This window comes from Homo sapiens, chromosome 15 (genome assembly GCF_000001405.40).
Source record: "Homo sapiens chromosome 15, GRCh38.p14 Primary Assembly".
Taxonomy (NCBI): domain Eukaryota; kingdom Metazoa; phylum Chordata; class Mammalia; order Primates; family Hominidae; genus Homo; species Homo sapiens.
In genome coordinates, this window is record NC_000015.10 from 38,898,736 (window position 1) to 38,911,119 (window position 12,384).

A 12,384-nucleotide genomic window follows, 5' to 3' on the forward strand; every position below is an offset into this window, starting at 1 on the left:
CGGCGCAGCAGGAGAGAGAATGAGTGCCAAGAGAATGAAGACCCTTATAAAACCATCAGATCTTGTGAGAACTCACTGTCTCCAGAACATCATGGGGGAAACTGGCCCTAGGATTCAATTATCTCCACATGGTCCCACCCTTGACATGTGGGGATTATTACAATTCAAGGTGAGATTTGGGTGGGGACACACAGCCAAACTGTCAGTATCTGAAATTAGATAGCCTTGCATTTGAATTCAAGATCCCCAAATATTAACTTTGTGAATGTGGGCAAGTTTCTTCAACATCCTAAGCCTCATTTTTTGACATTTGAAAAATAGTACCTCCTTCATAGGGTTGTTGTAGCATTTACAAGCATTTAATTAATGGGAATTAATTATCACATAAGAATATATTTAAAAGAGAGCACTCCAAGCAATCATGCTTTGAAAATTAAGAAGATGAGTTATTATATTTAAGGTGTAATCCTGGGTCCTCTGAATCAAAAGATTGAAACATGATCTTGGATTGGGAGTAAAAATAAGTGATTGAATTTTTTTCTTTTGGACAAAAATGAATATTTTGCAGTTGAAAAAATATTTCATTAACTAGATTGAAACTTCTCACAGTCAATGTGAGCCAGCTCAGCTGAATATCTGTTATTTGGGGCTGGACAGTGAGGGATGCCATACAAAGCTCTTCTGTGTCCAGGCTGAGTAACAGCCATATGATACTCCCAGACATACCTTTTCAAGCCACGTGACACATTGCCATGCCAAGCACAGAGAGTCTGTATATTTCTCTTTCCTGTTATTACACATTCCATGCTGATTTCAATGTAGAATGAGCATTTGAATAGCCTGTGTGTTGAAAATTGAACCCAGTGAGACAAACTCTTAAGGACTCGCTTTTAATAACAGAATGAGATGAGAGAGAAGGCAGGCCTATGCATTTCCCTTTGCTCTAACTAGCAGTCCCAGAAACAAATAATGAGTGCCCATTGTCAATGACAATGTGCCTTGCAAAGAAGGCACAGCTATCCCAAGAACAAGTAACTGTGTCTATAGGTAATAAGCAAATGGACTCTTGAATATATATTCAGAGTACAAATTTGGAACACACATGAAGAGCTAGCGAAGACAATTTGGTTGTGTTGAGGTTAGTAGTGTGAAAGAATCTGCTTTACAGCTTTTGATTCTGTAATGCAGGCTTTGCAAGTGAAGTAGAATGTTATTTGGACTTTTTTTTTTTTTTTTTTTTTTTTTTAGATGGAGTCTTGCCCTGTTGCCTAGGCTGGAGTGCAGTGGAGCAATCTTGGCTCACTGCAACCTCCACCTCCCCTCCCAGGTTCAAACGATTCTCCTGCCTCAGCCTCCCAAGTAGCTGGGATTACAGGTGCCTGCCAGCAAGCCCAGCTAATTTTTTTTTCTTTTGTATTTTTAGTAGAGACGGGGGTTTCACCATGTTGGCCAGGCTGGTCTCGAACTCCTGACCTCATGATCTGCCCACCTCGGCCTCCCAAAGTGTTGGGATTACAGGCATGAGCCACTGCACCTGGCCTATTTGGACCTTTAAGAGTGGGATCATCATGATTTGGTGGTGCAGCAAGGAGACAAATTATATCCTTTGGAGGTGCTGGCAGAATAAAATACCTTACAAGGCAGCACCTTGAAGCTGGCAGAGAAGTGAAAAGAATCCATGCAGGTGATGACACAGGCAGTCCTGGGAGTGAAAGGTGGAGGTGGCATGGAGGGGTAGAAGCGGGTGGAGGATGGAGAGGCAGGGCTTCATCATATGAATAAAGAGCCACAGAGGTGACAGCGGGAAATAACGATGTGCATATGAAGTGTGCAGCATGTGGAATCTGAGGGAGAAAGGACAGAGCATGAAGGGGGTTTCAATGAAGGTGAGGAAGGATCTCTACAGTACTTCCCTGGTATCAAATTTCTTATTTCATTGTATATATTGAAGGTGTCCAACATCATGTTGTGATATACACAGTGAAATGTTTACTACAGTCAAGCAAATTATCCTATCCATCATCTTCCATTGTTACTTTTTGAGGTGGGATCACCTAAAAGCTACTTTCTTAGCTGATTTCCGATATACTACACAATACAGTCAGCCTTCTGTATTTGCAGGTTTCACATCTCTGGATTTAAGCAACTGTAGCTTGAAAATACTTGAAAAAAAAATAACAATAAAAATAGCACAATAAATATAATACAAATACACCAATACAGGGTGACAGCTATTTACATAGCATTTATATTGTATTAGGTATTATAAGTAATCTAGAAATGATTTAATGTGTGCAGAAAGATACGCCTAGGTTATATGCAAATACTATACCATTTTAAACTGGAGACTTCAGTATCCATTGATTTTGGTTTTGGAGGCGGGGCAAAGGTGGGGGGTTTGCCTGGAACAATTGGCTGCAGATGCTGAGGGATGACTGTATATAAGTTGGCGTGGAAATTCCCGACTTTGTAGGTTGTACACATGCTGATATTGTCTTTCCTTGCCTTTTTTATTCTAACAACATTCTCACCCCCTCCTCAGTTGTATAATTCATCCGGTTTATTATGAACTACAGTCCTCATGCTGTACATGAGCTCTCTAGACTTAATCTCCCTCCCTGTTCTAGTTCTGTTTCTATACTTTTTTTTTCTCCAAGAGATAGGGTCTTGCTTTGTTGCCCAGGCTGAAGTGCGATGGCACGATCATCCTAGCTCCCTGTAGCCTTGAATGCCTAAGCTCCCAAGCAGTGGGGACTACAGGTGTATGCGCCACCCCGCCCCACTGATTTTTTTTTTTTTTTCATTTGTTTAAAGATACAGGGTTTTCTATGTTGCCCAGGCTGGTCTCCAATGCCTGACCTCAAGTGATCCTCCTGCCTCATTCTCTTGAGTAGCTGGAATTACACGTGCGAGCCACTGCTATTGGCTTTTTCTATGTATTCGATGTCTGTTTTAGATTTCACAGTGAAATCATACACGATTTTTGTTTCTGTGACTGGCTTGTTTCACTTAGCATAATGACTTCCAGATTGATCCGTGTCACAAATGGCAGATTTCCTTCTTTTAAAAGGCTGAATAGTATTCCATTATATATATGTACCACAATTTCTTTATCCATTCATCCCTCAATGGACACTTAGGTTGTTTGTATATCTTGGCTACTGTGAATAATGCTACAGTGAATGTGGGAGTATAGATATCTCTACAGGGTACTGATTTCATTTCCTCTGGGTATGTAGCTTTTCAATTTTTAATGTTATATAAGATGGAATCTCTTAGGATATTGTCAAGAAACAGCACCGTAAAAATGAATAACATAAGAGTTTAATTAAGAAATTATCGTCAAAGTTGTGGGCAGAGTGCAGGGAAGCCATGGGGAGCCTTCAGGGTGGGGAGCATTTTCACTGCCACCTCCAAGGGGCAAACAGAGGGAGGAGTTACTGGAGCCCTGGTGGAGAGTACCAGGTGGAGGGGGCTGCTGGACAGGAGCTGCAGCAGGGCCTACAGTCCATATCCAGGACGTGGGCGGGGGGACAAGTGTGTAGGTTGATCTTTCCACTTTTCATAGACACAGGAACTCTCTGCATGTGGTACTATGTTGATTTCTACTGCAAGGATTTCTTCCTTGATTTCAGTCTCCTCTTGGAGTTGAAGGGACAGAGAAAGAAGAAGAAAGACTTTTGTGGGATATTTTTTTCAACTTCTCTCTGCAGCCATCAAAGGAGAAATTGAACTACCACAGGAGCATTGCGATGTGTTTGGTGGTCAGGAGGGTGGTGAGACACGGAGATTCGTTGAGCATTAGCAGATGGCCCTGAAGCTTCTTACCACGGGACCATCTGCAGGTCTGCTTGATTTATAATCTCTTCCTTTGCCTGCTTTAAGAGTGTTGATTGAAACTATACATCCTGAAATACACCTACCTGTTTTTGCTTTAAATATCCACTATGAGAAACACCAATAACATAAGCACGACTCAAAAGAAGGAGAAACTCAGACTGCCTCTTCCCTAGCCACAGGAGCTTGCCTTGGCTCTTTTTACTGAATCCTCCTATTCTTGGTGAATTCCACAAGGAAAAGGGATAAGGAGGCAGCTCTCGCTATATCTCAGAAACCGAAAATAAAATTGAGACAAACCTTTCCATTTCTTTTTTGAGACGGAGTCTCGCTCTGTCGCCCAGACTGGAGGGCAGTGGCGCGATCTCGGCTCACTGCAAGCTCCGCCTCCCGGGTTCACGCCATTCTCCTGCCTCAGCCTCCCAAGTAGCTGGGACTACAGGCGCCCGCTACTACGCCCGGCTAATTTTTTGTATATTTAGTAGAGACGGGGTTTCACCGTGTTAGCCAGGATGGTCTCGATCTCCTGACCACGTGATCCATCCGCCTTGGCCTCCCAAAGTGCTGGGATTACAGGCTTGAGCCACCGCGCCCGGCCCTTTCCATTTCATTTAGCATGTGGTAGGGAAGAGGCGGGGGTTTAATAAGCGTGATATTGAAGTCAGGCAGATGTGGGTTTAGTTGTTGGCTCTGTGTCTAGTTACATGATGTGGGCATATTACTTGATCTTACTGAGAATCAGAACTTACATCGATAAAATTGAGTTGTTTTGAGAACTAAATATGACATTTAAAGTGCTTAGCATGCTATCTGGTACATACCAACCACTTAATAAATATCTATTATTATTATTATTATTGTAAATCATCTCCCGTATCAATGTCTGCTTAAGAAATACTTGTCTTTTTTAGATTCAAAAGTTGTAAAACTTCTCTGTCCCTAATCCCAATACGTGTACTGGTGTTCTTTCCCGGTTCATTGTGACCCCCACCACCTCCCTTCCAACCTCCCCTGCTCTATTCCCTCCTCCCAGGCATTCCTCACGGGGTTTGGACTTCTCTGAAAAATGGTTTCATGGCCCCAATTACCTGCAAGCCAAAGAGTAAGTCACCGCTATTTGGCTTGGCTATTTGCTTGACACCAACCTACTGCTGGTGGGCGCCTGTGCTTTTAAAAAGAAAGATCTTTCCAAATGATAACAAACTTCCAATTACACATTTGGTTCCTTGAATTTATTAGGTCTACTGCAATGAACAAACTGTCCTTGTTACTTGTTTCCAAGAGCAACTCTGGTTTTAAACAAATCAAATTTCTGTCCATTTTTAATATTGGTTTTTCATTTTGGATTTAAGAGAAAAATGTATGAGCTCTTCTTTCCTAAGGAAGCTGTTTCTCCAATTATTATCCTGAGTTTTTTTTTTTTTTTTTTTTTTTTTTGCTTTACCTTCAGTTTAGCTTAAGTGGTATCAAAGGGGTTGATCTTTGACTCCTTTGCTCTGTCTTCAGAAAAATTAATAACATATCCAATCAGACAATGGTCTGTTATGTCATCTTGGCACAGGTACATATTTATTTGTAAAACAATTTTTCCTTCATAAATATCATTTGTAAAACATTAAAATTTGTTTTCAGTTCTGGATCTATGTTCTTCTTTCTTTAGTTCTGTAGCTAATATTTTTTTAAAAGTTTCAAATTTTTTGACTCTATCTTTTTCTCCTTCAGAGAGCTTGATCCTTCCCTAACTTCCTAAAAAAGAAAAAGTCCTCGTCCTTCCTCTTCATCTGTAATGGGTGAGAAAATGACAACAACAAAAAAACAACATGAAAAACAAGACATCCAGCCATCTGTGTCGACAAGAGAAGCATTCCCTTGCTTGTCCTTGACGTCACGGCATTTACTACCAGTCACTCAGACCCAGCCCTTGGAGTGGCATGGGGCTTGGTACTCCATTCAGAGCTGCTCAGCAATGCCTGGTATTCCTGTTGAGGAATGCTCTTGGCAAGGGGGAAGTGATTCTCTTCTCTTCCACTAAGGACTCATGAAAGGACTTTCAGATGTCTTTACCCTGACCTGGGTCTTCAAAGAACAGAACTTCTTATCTTCCATACTTTCCTAAGTAAGGGGCAACTCGGTCATTTTCTGCCGTTACTTAGGCGCTTTTCTCTTCCTTATTATTTCATTTCTTCATAGAATCTGGCCAAGGTTGTTGAGAAATCCAGCTCTTCGTATTGAGGTGCCAGGAGACAAGAGCAAATGTTGCTCTTTCCCCTCTCTAAACATAGAATTTTGTTGCCCCAGCACCACCTAATTAACTCCCTGATTTCCACCCCCAAGCACTCCTCTGTTATTCTTAATTTGGAAAATATATATATATCTTGGTTGTAGGTTTTGAAGGTAGGAGGAGGATAAAAAGGCTATGTTGGGGACTTTTAGGGTTAGGGTGAAAGATGATGGGGCACTTTGCCATAGGGATTCCTACTTAGAAGTATGAAAGCAGAAATTAAATATTCTTAACCACAGCAGCATGTTTATGTGCTCACTATTTCCTCCTTGAGACCTTCTTCTTACCTTCATCATCCACAAGATGGGTAATTCAGGTCTGTGCCATTCAGTTTCTCTTTCATCAGCTCTGGTGTCTCCTGCTCTATGCCCTTTGTCAGGTACTGTCTTAGTCTGTTTGTGCTGCTATCACAAAATACCAGAAACTGGGTAATTTATAAATAACATAAATTTATTTCTCATGGTTCTGGAGGCTGGAAAGTCCAAAATAAAGATGCTGGCAGGTTGAGTCTGGTGAGGGCCCAGACTTTGCTTCCAAAATGGCATTGTGTTGCTACATCCTTCAGCAGGGACTAATGCTATGTCCTCACATGGCAGAAGGGCCAGAAAGGGAGAAGGGCCTAGCCTTAGTTCCCTTGAATCCTTTTATAGGGGCACTAATCCATTCACAAGGGTTCCACCCTCATGACCTAATCACCTCCCAAAGGCCCTACATCTTAATATCATCACATTGGCAAATAACTTTTAATATATGAATTTTGTGGGGATGCATTCAGACCATAGAAGATGCTCTTTGTTTCCCTTGAACATTACTGTTTTTTAAGGATTTGGCCTCAAATTCCTTCTCTTGATAGATCTCCTTTTGGAATTACCTATTCTGAAAATGCTCATGTTTCACTAATTTTCCTATGACTTTTACATCTGTATCTCTCATCTTGAATTCCAGTTCTACATTTTCAAATGACTCATACGTGGACAATGCACTGTCAGCAGAAACTCAACATTTGTAAGGCAGGACTCTTCAATTTTTCCTCATTTTGATCTCCTCCCATACCCTTTAATTGTCAAGGACATACTTTTAGGTGTCCAGATTCAAAATTTTAGAAGCATCCTAAATAGCCTCTTTCCCTTAATCCCCACTTATCCACTCAGTGACTTAATCTTGTATATCATTATGATCATTTTCATATATGTCCTTTTATTTTTAAAATGACTTTTGAAGATTTTTTTTCCTATAAAAGCCATTTTTTTTCTGTACATTGCAGGAAACAAAGCTGAAAAATATAAAAAAGCATACAGAATATATCTTCTATAATTAAACTGCACAAAGATAACTATCCATTTTCAGTCCTCATTTCCTGTGTGTTTATATAGTAAAAAGACTGAATCACAATGTTTGCAGTTACTATATTTCTTAATGAGAAATTGTAAACATTTTAAATGTTGCTAAATAATTTTTGTTTGCTTTATGCTCATAGTTGTGTCACAATTTATGCAAATATATAATGCTACGAATTTATTACCCTTATTTTCACTATTAAAATAGTTGATATGTACCAACAAGACACATAGGAAAAAATTGACAGATTTTTCTCCATACAAATTAAAACTTTTATATGGCCACTGATATGAATAAAGTTAAAATGATAAACTGGGAGAAAACATAAATATGTGTAACAGAAAAGAGGTAATAAACACAATATATAGAGATATCAAGCCTAATATATAGAGTGCTTTAGAAAAGTTTGAAAAAGAACAACCCAGTAGAAAAAGAGAAAAACGCTGTAACAGACAACTCAAAAAGGGTAAACCAATGAATAAGAAAAATAGGTGGAAAATGGTGTCTCCTTAAAAAAAATTAATACTTTATGACATATTTTAAAATATAAAAAGTAATACACATTTATCTTAAAGTATTTAGTTAATACAGATGGGTATAAAATCCATATGAAATTTAAACACCCAGAAATGATCACTGCAAACATTTGGTTTAATGTCTTCTATATTTATCTAATTATCAAAACAAGGGCTTTTATTTCCCCTCTAAACCATTCCTTGGCTTATTCAAAACATTTTCTACAGTTACAACTATAGCAACAAAAGAGACTACGAAAGAAAGACCTGAAGAGAAGATTTAAAAATTGGAAGTTGATGATAATTGGGAGAAAATAAAGTAGCATTAATAAAATTATTTTCAGACAAAGTAGAATTTAGGGCAAGTAAAGGCGTTAAACAGAATCTAAAATTCTTTTGAAAAAAGCACAACCTGCATGATTTTATCTCTGATTTAAAAAATTACTTTCACGTATTCATCCCTCTTTGCTTAACCAACTTTATTCCTCACTATAATTGCTCCTATTTTTGAATTAAATCTTAATTCATCACATCACATAATTTTTGGAAGCTGTTTTTCAGAATAAGTAGTTTTTGATGATTCGTTCTTCTCTTAGCATCTAAGACAAATAATGTCTTTGTTCCCTATCTTGCTGACTATTCTTTTTTCCTCTTCCCCAGTTTTATCCTTCTTACGCAGCCTTTAAGTGCTGCTTTCTTGGAAGGTTAATCCCAGGTTTTATTCTCTTTCTATTCTATACTTCTACCTAGGTGATTTGAACCCCAACTAGTTTTTTTAATATTGTTTCATTTTTTAAAACAAATTTACTTAAGTTCCGGGATACATGTGCGGAATGTGCAGGTTTGTTGCATAGGTATACATGTGCCATGGTGGTTTGCTGCACCTATCAATCCATCATCTAGGTTTTAAGCCCCTCATGAAAATTGACCACATAATTGGAAGTAAAACACTCCCCAACTAGTTTTTAAGTAGGTGCAGATGACTTTAAGCCAAGTCTTCTGAGTGGCATATCTGATTTCTCTTAGAGTTTCAAAGGTACCTTGGGCTGATTGTATCTGAAACTAAACATATGACCTTTGTTTCCAATCTGTTTCTTTTTGTTGTTGTTTGTAGAATTTTTTCGTCGGTGAACTGCATCATCTTTCACCCATTTACAAAAGCCAGGCAAAATGGTGATCCTTAACACCTCTCTTTTCTCCCATGAATAATCCATTGCTGATCCCATTGATTTTACTTCTTAAACATTTCTGGAATCAATCAACTCTCCACCTCCATCATCACTCCAGGCCAACTGATCATTACCACCTGCTGGAATACTGAACTTTCCTAAATGGCCTTCTTCTGAGTATGCCATCACCTGCCATGATTCACAGTTAACCAGAATTTTTTTTTTTAATCTCAATTGGATCATGTCACTACAATTGTTTTTTCCTAGAATATAGAAGTACTTTTGATTTTATATTTGACCTTTTACTTACTCTGTGGTCTTGTCATATTCAAGGTCCAGTGCCTTTTGTTAGCTCTTTGGGGACTCACCAGGTGGACAATGAAGTCTATGAATAAAGAAAAGTTTAATTTTTTCCTTTGCAATTTGTATGCCTTTTATTTATTTTTAATCTGTGTTGTTGCAGTGGCCAGTACATATAGCACAATGTCAAATACATGTCATAAGTACAGACATTCTTGCTTTTTTATTGCTGTTAGGATGAAAGAATTTAGTGTTTCACCATTATGTCTGATATTAGCTACAGATTTTTGAAGCTGTCCTTTATCAGATTGAGCAATTTTCTTTCTTCTAGTTTGCTGAGAGAATTTTTCGTTTGTTTCTGTTTTTCTTATATTATAGATGGGTGTTGAATTTTGCTTTTTCTGCATCTAAGGAGATCATATCCTTTTTTTCAGGCTGTTGATATAAAAATTACATTAATTACTTTTTTAGTTTCAGTACTTTTCATTTTATTGATCATCTATGTTGTTTTTTAGTTTCAATTTTATTTATTTTTGTTCAGATTTTTATTTCCTTCAGCTAATTTTGGGTTTGATTCATTCTTGCTTTTTGAATTCCTTGAGGTGCATCACTTAAGTTGTTTATTTGAAGGCTTTCTACTTTTTTGACATAGATATTTATTGTTACAAACATCTCTTTTAGTACTGTGCATGTTGTAGCCCATAGATTCTGGTATGTTGTGTTTCCATTTTAATTTGTTTTTAAAAATTCTAAAGTTTTGTTCCTAACTTCTTCAGTGACCTAATGGTCATTCAGGAGCATGTTGTTTAATTTCTACATACTTGTGTATTTTCTGAGGTTTTCCTTGTTATTAATTTCTAGTTTTATTCTATTGTGTTCAGAAAAGATACTTGATATGATTTCTATTTTTTTGAATTTGCTGAGACTTGTGTGGCTCAATATATTGTCTGTTCTGGAGAATTTTATATGTGCTGATGAAAAGAATGCATATTCTGCAGCAGGTGGATTAAATGTTCTATAAATGTCGTATCTATGGTCTAGTGTGTTGTTTAACGCTGATGTTTCTTTGTTGATTTTCTGTCTGGATGGTCTATCCATACTGAGAGTGGGGTGTTGAAATCTATTATTGTATTGAAGTTTATCTCTCTTGTTAGATCTATTAATATTTGCTTTATATACCTGGGATCTCTAGTGTTGGGTGCATAGATATTTATGAACTGTTACATATTCTTGCTAAATTGAAGCATTTATCATTATATAGTGATCTTCTTTGTCTTTTAGTATTTAATTTGTAGTCCATTTCTTGATATAAGTATAGTTATTCCTGCTCTTTTTTGGTTTCCAGCTCCATGGAAACCCCTTCACTTTCAGTCTGTGTCTCTGGAGGTGAAGTGGCTTTCTGGTAGATAGCATATAATTGGGTCTTGTTTCTTTATCCATTCAGCAACTCCATGCCTTTTAATTGGATAATTGAGTTCATTTACATTCATTGTTATTGATAAGTAAGGGCTTATTACTACCATTGTGTTGCTTGTTTTCCGGTTGTTTATTGAACTCCTCTGTTCCTTTCCTACTGTCTTCCTTTGTGGCTAGGTGATTTTCTCTAGTAGAATGTTTTAATCTGTTCCCTTTTATTTTTAGCGAATCCTTTATAGGTCATTTCATTGTGGTCTCACCATGAGGCTTACAAAAAACATTCTATAGATGCAACAAGTTGCTTTAAAGGGATGAAAACTTACCTTTGATCACAAAGAAAAGAACAGAAATAAACAAAACATTTTTCAGATTTCTACTCTTTAATTCCATCTCCTTGCCCCCTCATTTTGGCTTTGTTTTCACAATTTATGTATTTTTATATTACCTTCTCTTAACAGGTTTCTGTAAGTATTATTGTCTTCAATAGACTTGTCTTTTGCACTTCATACTAGAGTTATGAGTGGATTGAACATCACAATTATAATATTAGAGTAGTCTGTTTGTCCACATGCTTAATTTTCCCAGTGGATTTTTTGCATTTAAATGTTTTCTTTTTGCACATTGGTTGTTCTTCTTCTCAGATTAAAGAATTCTTAGCATTTCTAGTAAGATGGGTCTGGTGGTGGTGAATTCTCTCAGCTTCGGTTTGTCTGGAAGGATTTTATCATGCCTTCATACTTGAAGGATAACTTTGCTAGATACAATATTCTTGGATAGCAATATTTTTCTTTTACCATTTAAAAAATGTTATCCCACTCCTTTCTGGCCTGTATGATTTCCTCTGAGAAGTCTGTTGCCAGATGAATTTGAGCTCTTTAAAATGTTGTTTCTTTTTTCTTGCTGCTTTTAGAATCCTCTTGTTGTCCTTGACGGTTGAGAGGTTGATTATTGTATGCTTCAGGTTAGTCTTATTTGGGTTGAATCTCTTTGGTATTCTCTGACCTTCCTGTACCTGGATTTTTATCTCTTTTCAAGTTTTGTAAAATTTTGTTATTATTTCTCTTATTTTTTATTATTTCTGTTATTATTTCTTTCTACTCCTTGCTCTTCCTAAACTCCCTCTTGAATACCAATAATTCTTGGATTTGGTCTTTTGAGGTAATTATCTATATTTTCTAGGTGATCTTCATTTATTTTTATTCTCTTTTTCTTCTTTTTCCTCTGACAGTGTATTTTTTATAGCTTATCTTTGAGCTCACTGATACTTTCCTCTGCTTGATCCATTCTGCTGAGGGCCTCTAAGAATTCTTCAGTTTGGCAAATGTGTTTTTCAGTTCCAAGATTCTATTTGATTTTTAAAAAATTATTTCAGTATCTTTGTTAAATTTCTCTGAGAAATTTCTGAATTGCTTTTTTCTGTTATCTTAAAGATTGTTGAGTTTCCTTAAAACTGCTATTTTGAATTTTTGGTTGAGGGTTTACATATTGTCATCTCATTAGGATTAGTCAGTGGTTCCTTGCTTTATCC

General features: G+C 37.2%; 1 long non-coding RNA gene across 2 annotated transcripts in view; it reads right to left on the reverse strand.

Annotated features, from left to right (window-relative positions):
- LOC105370777 (uncharacterized) overlaps positions 1–12,384 on the reverse strand; it is a 556,255-nt gene that overhangs the window by 33,930 nt on the left and 509,941 nt on the right. The window contains exon 4 of one of the 2 annotated variants that reach the window (XR_007064588.1): positions 5,249–9,525. This is a non-coding gene — a long non-coding RNA (uncharacterized LOC105370777). Of the gene's footprint in view, positions 9,526–12,384 lie in introns of those variants that run through there. The other variant, XR_007064587.1, reaches the window with a different exon arrangement.